Source organism: Homo sapiens, chromosome 10 (genome assembly GCF_000001405.40).
Source record: "Homo sapiens chromosome 10, GRCh38.p14 Primary Assembly".
In the NCBI taxonomy this organism is placed as follows: Eukaryota; Metazoa; Chordata; class Mammalia; order Primates; family Hominidae; genus Homo; species Homo sapiens.
Window position 1 is genome coordinate 10,323,687 of NC_000010.11, and position 22,953 is coordinate 10,346,639.

At 37.1% G+C, this 22,953-nt stretch overlaps 1 long non-coding RNA gene across 1 annotated transcript; it reads right to left on the minus strand.

The window, feature by feature from the left end:
- Positions 1-7,056: 7,056 nt before the first annotated feature.
- Positions 7,057-17,572, minus strand: LOC107984207 (uncharacterized). Its single transcript, XR_001747364.3, has 3 exons — positions 17,384-17,572; positions 14,141-14,223; positions 7,057-7,261 (listed from the first exon to the last, which is right to left on the minus strand). It is a non-coding gene; the product is annotated as an uncharacterized LOC107984207 (long non-coding RNA).
- Positions 17,573-22,953: the final 5,381 nt, after the last annotated feature.

Consider the following 22,953-nt stretch of genomic DNA (forward strand, 5'->3'; position numbering starts at 1 on the left):
TACACACACAGACACATACACACACAGAGTGATTGGGAGTACATCAAAGGACCCAGAAGTCAATGGAAAGACCTCCCAATGGCCAAAGTTGAGACAATTCGAACAATAAAATAAATCAAGTACCATTAGACTATAACCCAAAATATAAAATAAATATACAAGAGTCCACACTGATATAAGTAAGTGATTAAATAAGAAGTTTAGGAGAAGAGAATATCTCATATGCAGAAGAATTTCAAATAATTAATGTAGACACCCTTACCTTCATGTAAGGATGCAAACGTAAATCCTCACTCTTCAGACGAGATTGGGCGCATTCAGGGTGGTATGGCCCTAGATTAAATCATCACTCTTCAGAGGAGATTGGGTGCGTTCAGGGTGGTATGGCCCTGGAAGAAATCCTCACTCTTCAGGTGTGGGTTGTGCACAGTGACTTCCTTCCAAAGTGTATAGAATAGAGAAGGGGAACATCGAGTAACTTTCCAGTGAAGAAATCTGACAAACACAACCTCAGCCAGGTGATCAAGGTAAACCTGAACAATGATTTGTGATGGTAGTGGTATATAGCTTTGATGTGATAGGATGAAAGTGACAACTTTATCTTTGAGATCTTTCTCCCAGTAACCCATATCCCAGTCTAATTACGAGAAAAGATCAAACAGATTCCGATAGAAAAACATATCACAAAATAGTTGTCCAGAACGCCTCAAAACTCTCTAAGTCATCAAATATAAGAAAAGTCTGAGAAATTGTCACAGCCCAGAAAAGCGCTAAGGAGACATGACATGTAACGTGATCTTCTGGACGGGATCCTGGAAGAGAAAAAAACTTTAGATAAAAACTAAGGGAATCTTAATAAACTGTGAACTTTGGTTAATAACAATGTATCAATATTGGTTTGTTAATTATAACAAATGAACCATACTGATGTAGGATGTTAGTATAAACCCCGAAAATTTGAGACAGGTCTCAGTTAATTTAGAAAGTTTATTTTGCCAAGGTTGAGGACATGCACCCAGCACACAGCCTCAGGAGGTCCTGATGACATGCACCCAAGGTGGTCAGAGCACCCAGCTTGGTTTTGTACATTTTAAGGAGACATGAGACATCAATCAACATATGTAAAATGAACATTGGTTCAGTCTGGAAAGGCAGAACAACTAGAAGAAAAAGTAGGACAACTGGAAGTGGGGAGGCGGCTTCCAGATCACAGATGGGTGAGAGACAAATAGTTGCATTCTTTTGAGTTTCTCATTAGCCTTTCCAAAAGAGGTAATCAGATATGCATTTATCTCAGTGAGCAGAGAGATGACTTTGAAAAGAATGAGAGGCAGGTTTTCCCTAAGCAGTTCCCAGCTTGACTTTTCCCTTTAGCTTAGTGATTTGGGGACCCAAGATATTTTCCTTTTTCCATTAGTAATGGGGATAACTGTGTGCAAAGTGTTTGGAAACTCTCTGTACTATCTTCTTACTTTTTCTGTCAATCTAAAAGTATTCACAAACTTTCCAATGAAGCTGGAAAGGAAGATAAACTCCACAGGAAGATACAGTAATTATATATGGTTCATTTTTCACATTCCAAAGCTTTCTTTTATTCACACTGTGAACACGTGGTAGGAAATAACCTATAACTTTTGAAATCATCCAAGGCAATTCTATACTTTTTTCTCCTGAATCTGATGGGCAGGAGTTCTCATTGAGTCAAACTAAGTATTTTTAAGAAAACTTGTTACTTTAAAAACAGGTCAATTCTTAAATTCATAAAAGCTATCAAAATTTTATCTATAAATTATCCTAACCTAGCGAGAAAATATGTAAGCTTTCTCCCTCTACAAATCTGAAACCTGCATTAATCAATCTATAAGCCTCTTGCCTCCATCTCCCCTCTTCCATTTCTTTACCTAAGTGGACAATCTGAAAGTTTAACGTTTGAAATCTTGGCACCTAAGCTCAAAACCCCTCAGCACTACCACTAGTATACATATGCACTTGCTGACAAAATGCAAAATAGGACCACAATTATGAATCTATTGTTAACCTCAGCATCTTCTGACAGTGGCTTTCCTCTCTTTAGGGATGGCAGTTTCCCAACAGTCAGATGCACCTGTTCTACTGAGATTTTTTTCATTTATTATTTCAAATTCAAGAGCTTATGAAAATAAGTTCGTATACTGTCAGGCTCAAAACGTAAGTAAAAATTTCCCTTGTTCCCAATGTGCTTTGCTTCTAATATATTGGTCAAAAAGGATGTTTTCTTTTTATACATATGATCCCTGATTGTTGCTTTTGTTTGGGCTATGTTTTATGCAGCAGATTATGAATATGGTTTGATATATTCTATTTTGCTACGTTAATATCAGGTTTTAAAAAGAGATATATTAGTTCTGATTCTCTGTGTATACATAATGACCAGATAAAAGCCAGTTCACTTAATGTGAAAAGTCAGGCTTTAGTTTTTTGCCATTTTGTAACTTCCTTTTAAATTGATGTCACCAGATAAAAAGTGAGCTCTACGCCCATCTCTGTAGGGACTAAAGTAAACTGTGGTTTTATATCAGATGTGTGTCACCATTTTTCTGAGAACTATATTTGGAAGACAGCCAAGTGGATGGAAAGAAGTCCTGAGATTTAGAGGCAGGACCGCCTGGCGTTGAGTCCCAGCTCAACCATTTGCTAATTGGATATGTGTGGATGTCTTAGATCTTAGCTTCTCCAGTTACAAAGATTAAAAGAGAATGAAACTTAGTGGGCTGATCTGAGCATAAATTGAAACTGTACATATTCAGAGCATATTTCAGTGCCGGACACATAATAGTTTTATGCCCTTTTGACTTAAATTACGTCACAAAACAATGAACAAATGTCACCTCCTTGTAATCCTCTGACTAATCTTCGCCCTTTCTCTGTGCTTTGGAGAAAGCTGAAAAAGTTTCCTGTCCCAAAACTGTAACTGGGCACTATGTCCTTCGGTCAATTCCATCCACACGTGGGGCATGGCCACTCACCCCTTGCACTCACACTCCCACCAGCTTCTCCACCTCAATTTCCCCACTCCCAGCTCTTCCCACGTGCTCCGAATCATCTCATTTATAATTAGCTAGAGGTGAAAAGGTTAATTTTTTTATTTAAAAAAACTTAATATTTTAACACATCATTGCCTTTGATATTAGTGCAGGCAGTGTACTGAAGTCACTGAATCCATAATGACCAGACTGGGGAGTGAATTTCGAATTTGATGTCCTGTCCTGTGTGCGTTTCAGTCTACCGTGTACTGATACTCCCTGCGATATGATCTGAAGTAGCAAAAGTTCTGCTTGCTTACTCAGTCCTGGAATTCTAGAAAACTATGTATGTTCTCACACATCTTTAAATTTTTCAAATATAGCCTTACAAGTTATTTTTTTCTTAAGAGATAGTATATAATGATGGATTCATAATTGGAATATCTGTGACACAATGTGTTAACTAGGTCTTAGTGTTTATTGAATCATGCACACTCAATTTGAAAGAAATTACATTAAAATTTGTTTGTTGTTTTTCTGCAATATGAAGAGAAACTGGGGGAGAAAAAACCCTGTAGCCCATGAGAGCATTTTAATTATATTTAGAAAAATCAGTGTCACTCTACTGCTTCAGTTGTTCAAAATTCAGAATATTTAACATGTGCTTAGCTTCACTCCCATTAGGAATATTTGCAAGATGGAGGAAGACAAAAAGACCTAGAGGATCCTGAAGCTTTTCCCCACCTAAACAGTGTCCACAGATACAACTTCTTGGGTGTTCAAAATTTTATAAGCCAGTTAAGTATGCTCTAATCACATTTGGAATGGGCGAAAGGTATGGTTTCCTTTTGAAAACAAGAAAGGTGATTGTGAACTCAATTGAACACAGATCGTGAACATTTCCAGGCAGTTTTAGAAAAGGGTATGGGCCTATTATCTAACAAGGGCATTCTGCCGCTTGTCAAGTCTGTCTCTCCTAATGGCATATGCAAAAGTGGGAAATGAAATCCAGATACATTTGTGGACCCACTGGATACACCAGGCAACAGAGTCAGGCCAGAAACCTGTTTATTACCCAGCTCTGCTATGTCCCCACTGTGACTGCTGGATTTCAAGGCAACTTGACTCCCTCAGGATTTGTGTCGGCTCAGAGTCAGGAGTCAGTCATCACAAATAGCCTACATCCTTTTCTGAAAGGCACAGTTTCTCTACCTGATGACTTCAGCTCCCTTTGAGAAAGGATAGAAGGAGGATTAACAGTATACATTCATGACAGCATAGCAGGTTGTTTTCCCGAGAGAACCCACTATCCTTCCATCCTGCAGAGGGTGTCTCCAAGGTGGTGATGCTTCCCTCACCAAAATACTCCTTCATGCTTCTTTGGAAAGAATGTCCTGTGAGCTCTCCTAGGACACACAATGAGGAGGTGGGTGAGTCACTCACACATTATAAATCTACTCCAACATTCCTGTTTCCCTAAGCCTTTAGATTTATCCTTCTACATTATAACAAGGAAATACGACATCTCAGCTTCCTTTGATGTAGACTAACACAGAGTCCCGGTTTCGTGAGCAAATCATGAGAGCACTTCCCAGTTGCTTAAGCTAACATATGGAATTCAGAATCTCTCATGAGGACAACCATATTGATATATTTGGCCCTTCCAAAATTATTTTCCTTCCACCATGGACAAATACACTTATATTCCATTTCTACTCATGTATCTTAATTTCTGCTGATACAAGCTAACCACATTTTGCAATTATTTCAGAGTATAAACTGATCCCTCTCATGTCAGACTTAGTACTCATTTCCCTTGGTTAGGTTGGACCAGAATGTACTATGGGTCTGGAGGCTGCGTGGATCTTTTGAATATAAGCATCCCTTGCAACGTAAGGTTGTTACAGTATCCTCAAGCTAGAAGAAGCTAGCTTCCTCAGAGAGGGGTTGAGGAGAAGTATTTGCTGGTGAGGAAGTCTTAAAGGAATTTATGGGGAGGTTCAGATACTCAGATTCATCTGAATCCACCCAAATTTCTTCATTCCAATTCTCAGGGAATCATTCCTTTTCTATTAATGATCTAACACTCACATAAGAAATTGATAAGGGTGAGAAATCAAATTGATTCATAAAATAAAGATATTATTTTATGGTAATCATAGAATTCCCTTTCTTAGCTGCTCTTAACTGTACTGGAGGTGTTTATTTGTATTCTACCAATTCTCTAATGTAATCAAAATAGGTAGCATACTCCATAGTGCCAATAGCGATATTCCCACCATGAGTCTTTTGAAGAAGCCACTTGGTTTCCCAAAGTTTTCTATTTGACAGGCACATAATTCCAGGGACCATTTGGGGCTTAAGACTTACCAAAAAAAAAGTCCTCATTGTGGATACTATTGTAGGTTTTAGTGGATAATGAAAGTATTTTAAGTAAATGCCAGTGTTCAATTCATCATCTCTACCCAGAAGTGACATATCTCAGTATGTTGAGTTTTGTAGGCAATTTATCTTTTGGCTTAGATACTCTGCTTACAATCAGAATTTTACCACCAGGAAGTGAGGCTTTGGCTTTGAAGAGGCACAATGTAAAGTGTTTGACTAAGTGTGAATATCAGAGAAAGCCCAAATTTCTTGTATACTGATTATAATGCATTAATTAAAATGTGCTGTCATTTAAAAAGCAAAGTCACAGTTGCTGAGCAGAAAATGGGAGGTTAAGCAATACAATTTGTGTCTTTATTACCATCCTCAAGGATCATCAAAGACTTCCTTATGATGTTCTTGAAGGCTCTGAGCTTGCTGACTGTGTACCCTTTGTCTTACTCTACCAGGTTCATTCTTTTTCTGACCAATTTAAGGCTTCAAAAGATTATAAACAGTGCATTTCAGGAGAAAAAAAGACATTACCATTACTTTGCATCCTTGGCATTTCTAGTTATCTCTGGAGTCATTCTGTGTTTCTATTTAGCAAGGGATGTATGTTCAGTTTCCTGCTTCTTGTACCCTTCTCTTGTATTCCATATCTGCTTTCTTTCCATTCCCTGATGAGAAAAAAAAGTCGTTGCATCCCTTGTTTCCAGCTGAAAAGTAGAAAAATATACAACTGTGCCTGTAGACTTGATTTCCTCTTGGTGATCTACTGCAATCAGGAGAGAATTCTTTTGGTAAACAAGTCTTCTAAGGAGGCCGCTCTTGATAACACATAATTCTCATCAATGTCCCTTTTACATAGATTACTGAAGAAAATATAACATGCAGTCTACTATCTCCAAATAGTTTTATGCTATCAACCAGGTTTCTCGCCAAAAGACAACACCAATTTACTCCCTTGGATTTTTTAAAGCAATTAAAAATAAAAGAGCATATAAACAAGTTTTAAAATTGCTTTATTACAAATGAAAAATATGCAAAGCATTGAGGTCAGATTATATAAAGGAAAAGATGGAACAGATTTGCTGTATATAAGCATTATTACTAGAGTATCCTCTGGAATTATAAGGAACAGTTTCTAAGGTCTCATGATCTAAAGTATGATGGTTCAATCAAAACTTATGTAATCTAGCCTTAGAGATGAAATCATAAAGCTTCCTGGGTATATTCATAAACACAGAGTCCTCAGAAACAAGATGTTGAAAATGAATCAAAAATAAATATCCCCATTAGTTAATTTTTCACTGCCACCTGCCAGACCTTCATTATCTCTTAGAATACCTTACAATGTGTGGTTTCAATGAGCTGAGAATTTCAATTTTTTCCTACATATTTTCTGGGTTTAATTAGCATTCAGTACAGTCCTTAACATGTTGAAGACTGGTATGGTAACGGGAAATATGCTAACTCCTTCCAAATCCAGGGACATAAAAGTGTCTTTAAACACATTTAAATAAAATTTAAATACTTTAAAAATTGCAACCCGAAGTGTGTGTTTTTAAGAGCCGTAAGTAATTTAAGAGGCTCACTGTGGCTTTGTCTTGGACAGATGCCTGAAAGAGAATACATCTAATGGTGAAACAGTGGATGATGAAATTATGTATGTACTTATAGTACTTACGTTTTTCACTAGCTGTTTATATAACTGCTTTTTCACTTTGGGATATTTTTCACGGTGTAGGTTGTGATTTTATCTGTTTGCTTTTCCCTTTTTGGGTACAATGGGTTATTTAGCATCATTTTCAAAAAATCAGTTGAGGTTGCTCATTTAAACAGCCTTTTCTAGTTGCAGTATTTGTTCAACTTGTTCTCTATAATAGCTCTTCCTGTAAAGCAAAGAAAGGAAATAATTTGGGGTTTGGGTATAGGAAAGGGAATCTTGTGATATGAATGGGTATGGAACAAACCAAGTGAAATTTAAATATATTAGATGGGTTTCCCCAGAGACTCTTGCTTGGCCTTTTTGTGGGGGGTGGGGGGTGGGGAAATGTATCAAAGAATTAATAATATTCAGTAATACTAATAGAGACCAAAATGTATTATAATCTTTCACTTTGAAAGTAAAAGTACTATCCCCAGTGCTTTATATACATTTATATACATAATTATATTTAATCCTCATGGATTAAACACTTATAAAATAAGTGTTACTGTTCTCTTTTTACAGATGAAGAAACTGGGGTACAGAGAGGCTAAAGAGATTTTTCATAATCACATGGTCAGAGTGTGGAAGATTCAAGAAAGTGGTTTATTTCTGTATGACTGAAAACCTTATGCAATTCATGATGCTCAGAGCAGTGAGCAGTAGAAATAAGATTTAGTGTAATATTTTGCAAGGGCTGAAGGTAGAGAAGGAAACAAAGGTGAAAATATTAACAGAAGCAATAACAATAAAAATAACCACTAGAATATTGCCATTTAGGACAGTTATGGGCCAAGAATCAAATAGGGACTTTACATAAAGTATATTTATCTTCCTAACCATCCTAAGGAATGGTATTATTATGCCATTCTAAGACCTCACAATTAAAGTCAGGAAAATTAGGTATCTCTATTAAAGTCATACAACTAGTACGTTTCAAATACAGGAGTCCAGCTGTGCTCCAAAATCTATACTTAATCTTCTGCCCCATTGTCAGCTATACTTCTGTACTTGTGATTTTTATCTTAGAAAATTATCCTCATGGAATATTTTTTTTAAATCCTCATTTAACATGACATTTATATAACACAATCATTGGAGGTATCATTATACCTACAGACCTATTTATTTCATTCTTTGCAGTTAAAAAAAAAAAAAAGGCTTTTTGAAAATAGTGAAGAAAGGCTGGCCACAGGTGTGGAAACCTTCCATATAAGCCAAAAATCTCTTAATAGGATACTCATTGGACAAGGACAGAAACTATTATATTACCTGACCAAAATTCTGGGACTTCTGGTAATGCTACCAGAAAATAGAACAAAAGAAATGTGAAGTTACCCTTAGGGGCCCCATCAGAAATCAGGATTCAATATGAAGAGTAGCATGAAGCCTAAACTATCTGATAGTCACCTAGAAATACTGGTGCTACAAAGGGTCAGAATCTGAATCAAGAAGAGTCAGACTGTTTTTCTAAAGCTTTCTTAGAGGTCTGAAGAAGAGAATCCTTGAACTGTAATGTTAAATGTTTGGATGAAAATTTCTTAGGTTGCATCTGTGAAGATTTTCATTTTGGTTCACAGAAAAAAAAGGTATGTATTTGTGTGTACACACACTGTATTAGCCTTCTCAGGATGCCATGACAAAATATTATAGACTATAGGGCTTAAACAACATAAATGTATTTCTCACATATCTGAAGGCCAGACATCCAAGGTCAGGGTGCAGAGTGGTTGGGTTCTGAAGAGGGCTTTCTTCCTGGCTTGTAGACGACCGCCTTCTTCCTAGTGTGTGCTCACAGGCTCAGATAGGGAAGGTGAGGTCTATGCTGACTCTTCTTATAAGGACACAAATCCCTTCAGGCTGGGGTCCTGACCTGGTGACCTTGTTTAATCCTAATCACTTCCCAAAGACCCCATCTCCAAATACCATCACATGGTGGGGTAGGAGTTTAACATATGTATTTTGGGTGGGCACAAACATTCAGTATACACACACACACATACATATACACATGTGTTGTTAGATAAAGCTTGATAGAGGTGTATATGTATATATATAAAACATATATATAATACATAATAATTATATATTGTCCTAGTTATATATGCAAAAATAGCTTTAGAATCAGATATAAAAATAGAAGTGATGTCACCTCCTTTTACTCTTTACTTATATATAGCACATGACTGTTTTCGAAACAGCTGGCAGAAGTGTTACTTTTTCTTCTTTGTGTGAAATCAGTCAGTTGTTCCTAATCAGCATTACAGACAGGCTGACAGCAGAAACACCCCAAACTGAACCTCTTGTGTCGCTTCAGGGGAGACAGAGCATACCAGACAGATTTGTCTTAAGCTTTGACATCTACTGGACACTGTTGCAGCAACCCTTTCTAAAATTAAGTCACAATGTACTTATTCAAAAAGGTATTACATAGTAATTTTGCTCCCAGCAAGCTTCTATGGAAATATTATTGATATGTAAAAATGTGTATCTCTGAGTATGTTCCCTCTATTGTTATTTACATTAGTGAAACATTTGAGGTGTCACATTGTAGGGAATGTTTAAACCATGGAGTAGCCATATTTCAAAAAAATGTTAGGGAGTCATAAAAGCAATAATTTTATTTAAACACACAAGAGAATAGAAATAGAAAAACATCAGAGGATGAGATCAGAAAAAGAAGCTAAACTGAACACAGGCATCTTACTTCCCCTCCCACCAGAAATTCAGTTTAATGTCAGGTTAATCTTAGAAAAGAATCTCATAACTTCACTGGCAACCAAGGGAAGATATCAGTGGAAAAAAATTTCTGAGAACTTCCTAAGAAGTAGAAATGAAATGAGATCAGAATCACAGAGAAGAAAAAAGGAAGAAAACCAAAATCCAAAACTCATTCAGGAAGAACACTTGGTGGATTAAGAGCCATTTCAGGGAAGCTCAAAGCTCAGATCTAGAGCAGGGACAGGAGGGAGGCATGTGGAAATGAAAAGGAGAAATGCCGTTGGACAATAAGCTATTGATTTATCCAACCTCGACATATTTGGACTGATCATGGGGCAATGCCAGTGTGTCCACACATGACCAAGGACAAAAGGACAAGCTGTGCTCTGAGATCCCTCAGGAGTCCGATAAGGAAGAGAAGCCATTAAGTCTGTATTAGTCCCTTCTCACACTGTTATAAAGATACTACCCGAGACTGGGTAATTTATAAAGAAAAGAGTTTTGTTTTTTTGTTTTATTTTGTTTTGTTTTGTTTTGAGACGGAGTCTCACTCTGTTGCCAGACTGGAGTGCAGTGGCATGATCTTCGCTCACTGCAACCTCTAACTCCCTGGTTCAAGCGATTTTCCTGCCTCAGCCTCCCAAGTACCTGGGATTACAGGTATGCACCACCACGCCCAGCTAATTTTTGTATTTTTAGTAGAGATAGGGTTTCACCATGTTGTCCAGGAGGTTCTCCATCTCCTGACCTCGTGATCTGCCCATCTCGGCCTCCCAAAATGCTAGGATTATAGTCATGAGCCACTGCACCCGGCCAGGAAAGAGTTTTGATTGACTCAGTTCCACATAGCTGAGGAGGTCTTAGGAAACTTACAATCATGGTGGAAAGCAAAAGGGAAGCAACGCATGTGTTACTTTGTGGTAGATGAGAGGGCATGAGTGAAAACTGCCACTTTTAAAACCATCAGGTCTTGTGAGAACTTCCTCACTATCATAAGAATAGAATGGGGGAAACCGCCCCCATGATCCAATCACCTCCCACCAGGTACCTCCCTTGACTCTAGGGGATTACAATTTGAGATGAGATTTGGGTGGGGACACAGAGCCAAACCATATCAAAGCCCAACACAGGCCTTTCACCCCCATCACCATATACAGGCTCTTGTAGTCAGAACCAACCTCTACTAAACCTGGTGAGGCAGATTCTCACACACACAACCTGGTATCCAAGAATCAAAAACGCAAACACATTAAAGAGAGGTAACAAATGGGCAACCAAGGAAGCTATGTTTTTACTGCAAACTAAATATTTCAAAATAAATTTAGCTAATATTCTTCTGAGATTTGTGTAAAATATGGGAATTTAAACATGTTTTCAAAACAACTCAGTTGAGTTGAATTGCTGAAAAGGAACAGCAATAAAACCAATAAATTAATGAACTAGAATATCAAATAAAACATTTTCCCATCATGTAGCATATTTTCTATAAATTAAACATAAAGTATAAAAGAAAGCTAAAGAGATACATAGAATGTATCCAGAAATTCCAATGAACCCTTCAGAAACAGAATATTTTGAAAAACAACACTTATACAGTTAAAAACATAAGAGAGGCTGGAAATAAGACTTTGAAAAAAGTTAAATCTATAGAAGATTATGCAAATATTTTAAAAGGACCAAACGAAGCTTTCAGGAATTTTACAAAAGTAAAATATAAACCCTCAATGGCTGGATTAAATAGCAGATAAATACATAGACCAAAAGAGTTAGTAAACTGAAGGTTATAACCCAAAAGAGTAAGCCTATAAAAGTCAAAGAAAACAAAGAGATAGAAATACAATCAAAAGAGGTTAAAGAACAGAAAAGTCAGGATGAAAAAAAATGAAAAGAATATCAGAGTTCCAGATGGAAATTTAAAAGAGAATGGGGACAAAACAATATTTAAAAAATAGCAGCTAATAATTTACCTAGAATTGTTGATGTTTACCAATCTTCAAATCCTAAAATCTCAACAAAACCCCAGAAGGGTTTTGTTTTTTTGTTTTTCTTTTGGGGGGTGGGGGTTTGTTTGTTTGTTTGTTTTCAGATGGGGGGATCTTGCTATCTTATCCAGGCTAGTCTTGAACTCCTGGGCTCAAGTGATCCTCCCGCCTCAGCCTCCCAAAATGCTGAGATTACAGGCACACCCATCCCCCAAGCAGGGTCTAAAGAAAAAAAAAAAAGAAAGAAAGAAGAAGAAGAAAAATGAAAAGAAGGCAATCCAAATACTTAACACCTAACCACATCAGTGAAGCTGCAGGGCACTGATGAAGAAAGGTTAAACAGCCACAGAGATAGAACACATCAACTACAATGAAGCAACATCAGACTAGCAAGGGACTACAAAGCAGCAACAGAGGATAGAAGACAGTGGAATAGTATCTTCCATGGAGGAAGAGAAAATAACTGTGAAACTTTATTTCTACATCCTCCAAAAGTATCTTTCAATTATGAAGGTGAAATAGGTAATTTCAAACAAAGACCGAAAGATATTTGCTACTAGCAAAACTTCAACTTCTGCAAAGGGATCATAAAAAAAATTTCAGGCACAAAGAAAATTATTTCAAATGGAAAGTCTAAGATGCAAAAAGAAAAATCAACAAAGGTGTTAGAAAATTTGTAGAGAAATCAAAATGCACATTGACTCTGTCAAACAATAAAAATTTAGAAAAAGAGAAACAGGAGAGATCTAAAATACTGGACCACAATAGCATATGAATTGAAGAGAATTGATTGTAGACAAAGCTTTCTAAGGCCTTTTTGTACTAGTTGGGAGTGAAGTAAGGATACTGTTGATAAAACTTAGACTTTGTTAAAAATTGTACAAAATTATAGTCTCTAACTTCCAAATACATAAAAAGAAATGAAACAAGAATATTTGTACAATCAATATGAAAGTAAAAAAAAGGTGAAACTATTACACAAACAGGGTGACTAGAATTAACAATAATGTATTTTATATTTCAAAAAAGCTTGAACAGAAGATTTTGAATGATCTCCCTACAAATTATAAGAGGTGATGAATTTCCTAGTTACATTGATTTCATCATCATACAATACATACTTGTATTGAAACATCACATTGTACCTCATAAGTGTGTGCAATCATTGTGTGTCAATTAAAAATAGAATAAAACTTAAAAAACAAAAGGAACAAGAAAAGCCAGACAAATAATGAAAAACAGGCTAGGTGCAGTGGCTAATACCAGTAATCCCAGCACTTTGGGAGGCTGAGGCACGAGAATCACTCGAACACTGGAGGGAGGTTGCAGTGAGCCAGGATTGCACCACTGCACCCCTCAGCCTGAGCGTAACAGTGAGACTCCATCTCAAAAAAAAAAAAAAAAAAAGGAAAAGAGAATGAGAATGAAAAGATATTCAATCAGAAGAGAATTCAAGGAAGGAAGAACAAAAAAAAAAGGAAAAATCAGGAAAATAAGAAACATTTAATAAATTATAGAAGTCAAATAAAATGAAATGGATTAAAAGTCCTAGGTAAAAGACATCCTCTGATAAGATTTAAAAATAACTAATTGATATTTCCAAATATACACTGTTGGATTTGAATTACCAATATTTTTTAATTTGGGGTTTTTTAATTGCATGCTCCTGAATGGTATCACTGAACTGTAATTTTCGTTTTTCAAACTCTAGCTACCTGATTTTGCTAACAAAATTATATTAGATTTGTAAAATGTAGTTCTTTTTTTTCCACTCTAGAGAGTTTGCATATTATTGGAATAATACCTTCCTTAAATGCTTGATAGAAAATGCCTAAAAAGTCATATGGGCCTGAAATATTTATTGAGTTGTTTCCTTTGGGGGAGGGTAATATTTAACTATTAATTAAATCTCTTTAACCTTGATACATCTGTTCAGGTTTTTTACTTCTTTTTCAATATGCTTCAGTCAATTATATTTTCTTGGAAATTACCATTTTTTTTCTATTTTCAAACGTTGTCATATGGGTTTTATAAATTTTCTCTTGTAACATTTAAAACTTCCACCCCAGCTATAATTAATCCTCCTTTACATTTCTAATATTCTTTATCTGTGCTGTCTTTTGATCTTTGATTTGTCATGTGAGAGATTTATCTACTTTATTAGTCTTTGCGGGGATCAGCTTCCTCCTTGTTGATCCTTTCTATATCTTTATTTTCAGTGTAATTAATTTTAGCTTATATCGTTATAATTCTCTCTCCTCAACTTTTATTGGCTTTACCTTAATCTTTTACCAAGGCAGGGGATTCTTAGTAAGTGTAGGGGAACAGGCAGGTGGGAACTCTGCCATTCTGCTACTTACTTGCTGCAGAGAAAGTTGTGTGCTTCTTCCAGAACTTGGTGATCTTGTGGTGTATGCAGAAGCAGTTGACATCCTTTTTTTCTCTGTCATCAAATTTAGAGAAAACAAAACCAAAAAATAATATAAATTTCTCTGGGATGAAAAGCTGCCAGTTTAAAACACTAGTTCAGAAAGCCAATTAGAATGTGTGTAAATTTTAAAATCCCAGTATGAGCTCATTTACAGAAATGATCAACCTCTAAGCACCTGGACTAAACTTTAATATTGCTTAAAGATGAAAAATGTTCTTTTAGTACTCATTTCAAAATTATATGTTTTATAAAGTATGCATTCAAAGAATTTCTTTGACAACTTTTTTTACTAAGATGGTATAGGGTTATATTAATTCCACAAAAGAGGTCCATAGTTATATCAATATAAAGGGAATAGTCTGTTTCCATTCGTAAAAGAAAAATAAATGTTTGGTTGGTGTGATGTTTTTGCAAAGATTCCTTGAAAGACATTTTGTTAAAACACCATACAAATTAAATTCTTAAATTAACACTGATACCCCTTCCTTAAGGGAAGCATATTTAAAATTAAATTTGTGTGCGATTACCTCAAACATAGCCTTATTAACAGCCACCTAGATGTCTGTGGGTTTTCATGCATTAAATTTTTGTTCCAGATTATTCACGGTTTGTTAATTGGTGTGATAGTTGATGAATATTGATGGTGCGTGTTGTGGAAATAATTTCCATATGAAAGGGGTAAGAGCATTTCCTGCCCAGGCAAAACTCCGAAAATAAAAATAAAAAAATGTTGAAAGCCTGAATTTAGACTATGAGCTAACCCTCTTATTTATCTCTTATTTATCTAATCTATCTTAAGGATTCTCTACAACCAGTCGTCCCAAATGTATGTATTCCAGTTTATAGCGGAACACTTTAATGATGTCCAAAACAAATTAGGAATTTAATTTATGCATTAGGGCCCTGTTTAAAAGTCTAATGTGGAGGTTAAATGTTTGTTTTATTTAAATGAGATGTTCCGGCTTTTGAAAAATCTACTAGATTTAACTAAACTACCATGTTCTCAGATGTTTATTTTTCTTATTTTACAACAGATACGCAGACTCAGCCAACGTGTTTGTAGGGGGAAAACCGTCATCAACTCACAGGATCTTTGTTAGCAGGATACAATTATTATTTATCAAGTTGATTAAGCCACAGATTACTTTTTTATACTAAGTAGTTTTTAAAATGTGATGAAATTGGAATCTGTTTAATGTCTTTATTATCACAGAGTCACACACTAAATGTTCAATAAATACTTGTTTTGAATTGCTCTCTTTACTTTTCTTAAAAAAACACTTGGACACTGGTAGATGCTACTCAGATGTGATCTCATTCCATCTTCATCAACACCACTAGAAAATCATTATAAACCTAACATTCTGTGTGATGAAACTCAGACTTGAAAAATTAAGTTGTTCATTTTTTACTTCCAGGATTGTCTTATTTAGGGAGCCATGACCTTCTTGGAATTACAAGTGGAACACAGAAATTGAGATATTTTACAAGTATTTCAGCTATTTTATCTTTTGGACTTGCAAAAACAAGGAAGGAGATTATTGTATGACACAGGCTCAACATCTTCTTTCCTTGAAATTGGATCAGACTTTCTGAGGTCTCCTCTTTATTAATAGTATACTGCTTATAATCGCTTGTTAATTGTATACCCTCAATTACTCCATCATACTCATGGAAGAGGGGATTAAGAGCCAATGGAAAAAGGAATTGGAGGGAAAGGAATGTGCATTGCAGCCACGTCCCTAGATCTTGCATACATTTTGGCAGTAAGACCCCCTATTGCATAGCTGTGCTTGATTTATGGTCAATTTGCATTGTTTATCTTTGCTTTTTTTTTTACTACAAAGATTCCCATCAGTTCACATGCCTTTTCATTTTTTAATCATATTCTAGTTCCTTCCCATTTAATGCTCTATATACTTTTTCCTTTAACCACTAAAAATTAATCAACCCCCATAAATTAGACCCAACACAGCTACTAAGTAGTTGCTCCAGGACTCAATTTTCAAGTTTAATTCCCTTCTCAAGGCAGAGGTTCTCTGGAGATATTAGTCCTTTGGAGTCTAACCATATGCATCATTCTTGATGAAAATATAACTTAATCTTGTTTTAAAAAATAGACTATTAGCAAGAGGACTAGTGCATTTCCACATATTCTGAAACCATATGGGTTTGCAATAATTTAGGCACCCTAGACAATTTCTGAATTCCAGACGTATACTTTCTTGTCCCCACTGTGTGGCAGCAGGTCAGTACCTCCTAAAATCCAACCTTTTCCCAGCCTCGCCTGTCTGTGCCCAATGAGCTCATGAACAAAGTGGTGTTGGTGGCAGGGAAGCCCAGCAAACAGACTGTGACACATCAAAAGTGTTATGGGGCTGGGCGTGGTGGCTCACGCCTGTAATCCCAGCAATTTGGGAGGCCGAGGCAGGTGGATCACCTGAGGTCAGGAGTTTGAGACCAGCCTAGCCAACATGGTGAAACCTCATCTCTACTAAAAATACAAAAATTACCCCAGCATGATGGTGGGCACCTGTAATCCCAGCTACTCAGGAGGCTGAGGCAGTAGAATTGCTTGAACCCAGGAGGCAGAGGTTGCATTTGCATTGAGCTGAGATCACACCATTGCATTCCAGCCTGGGCAACAAGAGCAAAACTCCATTTCAAAAAAAAAAAAAAAAGTGAAATGGATACTCTTCTGAGTGTCTATAACTTGCCAACTACGAGGACTAAAAGTCAACCTCCAATACGGTGCCATGCCCTGAGGTCACCAGCCAGCCACCTCAGGCAGAATGATTATTCTGCACTACTTCCATCATGAAAGCAAAATTCTTTACTCTCACTAGTGTAGTCATTTATTCTAGTTATGGATTTGCCTCACCTGCTAGACTTTTTTTTTTTTTTTCCAAAATCACCATCTGTGGATTTTGGATTTACAGAATGCCTTAATCATTGTCACAGAATTTTTGGCTTCTGACAAGGTAACTCTGTGACTACCTGACAAACCACTTCAGAACTTAGTGGCTTAACAAAACAGTCATTTTATTATCTTTCATGATTGTGTGGTTGACTGCTCCAGTGGGTAATACTTCTGTTCAGTGTAATGTCAGTTAGTACTTTGGTCACTGGGCATCTCAACAAGGCTGGAATATCTAAGATGTGTACCGCTTACAGGTGGTAGATATCTTGAAAGCTGTGGTCAGTTGTCAGGCTGGGCTTTTCTGTCCAAGTAGGATCAAATTATTCCTCGTCATCTGGCCTTTCCATGCAGTCTCTCCAGAAAGGTGGCCAGATTGCTTAGATGACAGATCAAAACAAAAAGAAAAAGGTTACCAGGTTTTCTTAGGGTTTAGATACAGAACTACTTCAGTTTGTTTAAAGTAATTACATGGCCAGCACAGTTGTAGGAAAATGGAAAATAAACTGCCTCTAAAAGGGATTAAAAAGAAAGAAACAAAAACAAAAAAGTGACATCTTTAATCTACCACAGGGAGAAAGGGATTCAAGGTAGAATAAACAACATTTAGGAAAAAAAGACAGACATAGTGTTTATGAGGAGAGATGCAGGGAGTGGACAGAAAAGAATCGTATGAGTTGAGGTTTAGCCCAGAAAAATACATGGTTTTGCAAGCCTCACTTAGGTAGTGGGACTTTATTATAAATTATATGGAAGGAGGCCATCCAATGATTTTAGATTGTGAGATTAAATGAATAGATTTTTCACTTTTGACAGGTCATGCTGGTTAGAATAGAAAATGGTTTGGCAGGGAGCAGAAGTGAGGCGGAAAGATCATGAGTATACTGCTGTAATACTGTGGGAGAGAGGCGGTGGTTACTTGGAATCAGGTGGGGACATGGCAACGGAGGAAATCATTCTGCTTCCAAAGATATTTAAGAGATAGAATCAACAGAGCATTATGTTTGATTAAATGTGGGTATACCAACCTCTGGCTTAAATCACTAGGTGGACGATAATGTCAGTTATCAAGACAGAAAACCTGCAGAAGTAGGTTTAGAGGGGAGTAATTATTACTTCTATTTTGGGTGTATTGAGTTTTAGTTCCTCTGAGATATTTAGATGAAAATGTTAAGCAGACAGTAGGCTATTTGGGTGTGGAGCCCAAAAGAGATCTCCGGGGATACAGAGTTGGTAAAATCGAGCACTGATGATAATGACACAAAAGGTTATGGATGAGGATATCTCCCACAGGGAGAATGCAGAGTAAAAAGGAAAAAAAAAATCATTTACTATCTAACCCCTGGGAGCCTAATCATTTAGAGGTTTAGTGGGAGAGGAACTTCATAGATGTTTAAAGAGCAAAAGCCACGGAGATCAAGGAAAGCTCCAAGGGTATGTGATGCCCTAAATATGAAGGAAGAAAGTGGTGTAAGAATATGAGTCTTAGAAAACCCAAGAAAACCCAAAGAAAGGTTTTTGGGGAAAGGGTTAGGTTATGAGAGAAGGAGTACAGACAATTATCAGCTGAGAGTTGGATAAATAACTGCTACTAGCAGTGCCAAGAACTTTAAACGTGACATTGTATCTTACATATGTACCAACAAGTTTACCTCCAACAGTTTCATGGATGCCAGCAGAAGATATGAAACTCTTAGGCAAAGTTGGACACCATGATTATCCCCACAGTTGCATCATTCCCCAAGCCCCAATTCCCACAGGTCAATGAGATAAGGGCTGGGTGACACCACCACCATAGTGAATTTCGTTAGAGCAAAGGAGTCCTGAGTTTGGATTACCCGAATTTCAGTGGACAGTAAGCATGTTTGTTCTTTGCTCTGAAGTGAGAGGCTATCTCTGTCTTCCAAGATTAGTCACTAAACAACCATCTTTGAAAGGACAGTCTGCAACAAAAAGCTCTGCTCACAAGACATTCAGACACACGAAAGACGGTCGAGAATTGTCTCCCAATACAAGACATTCAGAAACACGAAAGATGGTCGAGAATTGTCTCCCAATACAAGACATTCAGAAACACAAAAGATGGCTGAGAATTTTTTCCCAATAAAGGAAGCCCAAGAAATGGATCACTGGCAGAGTAAAACAGGCTTACAGATCATTTCATCTTGATAGTATGCTAAAGGTTTGTGGATATTTGGGATTAATAGAATTCAGATGTCCAGAATATCTAATAGAAGTTCCCCCAATTAGAATGTTCACTCAAGTAATTTAGTTTCTGTTTGTTCACAGGGATTGTCAGCTGTAGTGAATATATCAATGACTGCTTTCTGGAAATGAATACATGTTGGGTTGTATAATGTGGTGCTAGTGGTTAAGAGCACACATTTTGGTGGAAGACTGCCTGTAATCAATGAATGGATTTTACTGCATCTAAATTAAGGGTTTATATTTAATAAAGGTTACCAAATAGGTGATCAACTGGTTGAAAATGTTTCCAATATCTGCAGTGAAGAGGGGGTTAATATAACTTCTCATAGCAGCAGGAAAAGGTAGGCTAACCAGTAGACACACAGGAAAAGTTATGATAATACAAGTTACAGAAGGAGAAATCTAATGGCTTAGAAATATTAAAAGAGAAGTGCTACTGAAGTAATGATCAACAACATTCAACTGAAAACAATGAATTATCACTTTAAGCCCATTAGATTGATAAAAATTTGAAAATCAGAATATAAAAATGGTGCAGACGTGGAGAAACCAGAACCACAAGCAGTGTTGATGGGATAAAAAGGATGCAGACTCCTAGAAAGACTGGCGCTTAGGTAAATTAAATACATTTGTGTTTATGATACTGTTTAGCGCTCCATCTCCTTGAATAGGGAGCAGAACAAATCTCTCACAATTTCATAAAGAACTGTGTATGAACAAGACTATTCTTAGGGTATGTGGGACTCCAGCAAATATTTTTGGCAGAATTCTGATCTGTGTATTCAATCCGATCAGAAAATATATTTAAAACATCAGGTGTCTAAATGAGGACAGTGGCTTATTATTGACGGTTTGGAATGATGAGTACAGAAGAAGTTCTCAGATATTCCCTTTTTGTCTAATTAGTGCATGTGAACATTCGTCATACTGTCTAGGTACCATCTCTTCTAGTTCAGATCCAATAATTATCTCTTCGTGTTCATGATTGTCAAACATGCTATTTCAGTCTATTTCACATCTTCTGCTATGAGAAAAAGGAAATGATTGATATTATTTATAATTCCATGACTCTTTGGGGTCTATTTTATTGAAATAATATAGATCTTGCCTGTGCGGTTACAAAATTTCAATTATTTAATGCTGGTTACATCATGACTCAGAACACTATGTCATTAGTTTTGCATTCATTCCTCCAAGAATACTGGTATCCAATGGCTATATCAAAGGTTTTACTCTACTGGATTGATAATGTCCACAAATTCAAGTCTTATATTATGCAGGACAACATGAATGATAATTAGTTCTCTTTTCATGTTAAAGTTAAGTTGTTGAACAAAAGCATGGAATGACACATCATTCCTTCTCCTGATCTTTTTGAGTCAAATCACTGTGTTCCTAGGATGTTATTTCTTTCGATGTTGACTACACCTCTGTCTTCCACACACTGCCCACGGTGGAAGGAGGCCAGGGGCCCATGGGCTGAGTGAGAAGACCAGTACCATTTTCTCAAGGCATGTCTGTCCTTCATCAGTCACTGCTTAAGACCAGACACACAGAGCAGGATGTCAACCTATTGATTGTAGGCAAGAGGCAAGAGAAAAGGCCTGTTAGAATTCTGGATCAATACTTTATAAAGGTCTCAAATGCCCTTGGAGGAGATTGGCATTGCCAACCATGGAGCACTACCTGATATGCAGAGCCCACGGCGGGTGGAGAGACCGTTCTGGGTGCCAGCAGTGGGGAGAGGCACCTGGGTTCACATGCCCCAGGAAGAATGAGTACAGGAGCTCTTCAGGACAACTGGTCAACCTCACAGGCAAAATGGAGAGTCAGAAAGAGCCTCAAAAGGAAGAAAGGGGAACTGGGATCCACGTAGGTTATGATCCAGTCTCAGGTCACCAACCTTGATACACTGCTGACCTGGTTGGTCCCAGGCACCATAGGAGGACTTAGGAAGTTCTGGAGTCTGGATGTCAGGACAGGAACACCTGGACCTGTATCTAAGGGCATTACTGTGTGGGAGGGCACGCACCACAGTTATGGGTTCACAGGGCTACAAGCAGTCTAAGGAAACTTTGTAAGCAAAATGTGGTAGATGCAAACAACGAAATATAAAGTGGTCCAAATAGTAACAGATACACATTCAGTAGTAGCCTAGTGTATCAGACACCCATTGACTATTACTCCCAGTTTTTTTTTTTTTTTTGATCCATCCCTAGAAAAACTTTAGTCACTGCCATGGCAACCACTTTCACACACACATCAAAGAAATGTTCCCAGGTGCTACTGGACAGTTCCTAATCTTGGCCCATACAAACAAAACAAAACAAGAACTGTTTCCTCCCTGGGGCTTCTCGAAGCTCTGGTAGGAAGTGTCTACAGAAAAACTCCCAGCATGATGCAGGTGCATCCCCAAAGTACTGAGAGATCAGTGCCTGAAGGACCCCACTTGGCCAAAGGAGAACAAAAGCCCATAGAAAAATAAACACTTCCATTTTGATCCCATGGGCAGAAGATTCTGAGATGCATTTCGTACAGCTTCTAAGAAAGTCTGGAGGACTCAAAGGCCCGTCACAGGTAGATGTGGAGGTAACAGGCTCACGGACCAGCCTTGCCTCTTCCTTTGCTTATCTTTCTGTTCCTCCCACCAGCGCCCTGGGATCATTCCCAGATACACATCTGCATAGAAGCCTTTGTCTCAGGCTCTCTTTCAGGACAACCCGGGCTACGACACAAGACACATGGGCCTTTGTGTTGTTTGTTTATTTAAAAAAATTTTTTGACTGAAAAAAAATTATAAAAAAGGGTGAGCTCTATAGTGCATTCCTACTTAAATGAATGCAAAGCACACCAAAAAAAAAAACCTCACATATTTTGAAGGATTGTTTTTAAGCCACATATATATTTAAAGCATTACAGTCAATACATTTGAAGGGTAGGAAAATAAAAGGAATTTGGAAATAAAGAGGAAGGAAACGAAATAATGCTGATAACAAGCTGAGATCTGAAAAATTATTTACTCAACTCAGTGTCCCTGATGTCCAATATTTTATGGAAAAAGAGAGAGAAGCAGAGAGAAAAAAGAAAGAAGCAAAGGATATGTCTCAAACAAAAGACAATATCTTATGCCATGAAATATTCTTTAACTTTTTAATGATTTTGAGGAAAAATACACACTTAAGAAAAAAGAGGAGGGGTATATGACTTTCCGAAGGACAATTACAGCTATGCCTCTCCAGCATCCTTCCCTATTTATGGAAGTACCAGATTCTTGTTTGCTGAAGTATCTTGTTAGTCACGGGTTTACACTCTGGATGCAGCACGGAATATTTGGAAATTTAGAAGAGGGATATTGCTGCCCTCCGAAGCCCAAACCATCGATGTCATTTCATTCTATTTATTTCACCTGCTTATGTATTGTTGTGTCTGACTTGCTTGCTGGAAATATTGCTTATTGTGGTTGAGGGAGTAGAACAAGGAAAAGAGACGTCCTGTTCCAAAATTAGCAATGCTGCCTGGCTTCTTCATATATAAGCATTATACATTTTTACCCAGCCTCTCTGGGTATTTCCAGAGCTACTATAATTACTTTGCCAGCATTTTTCACATTTGCATCT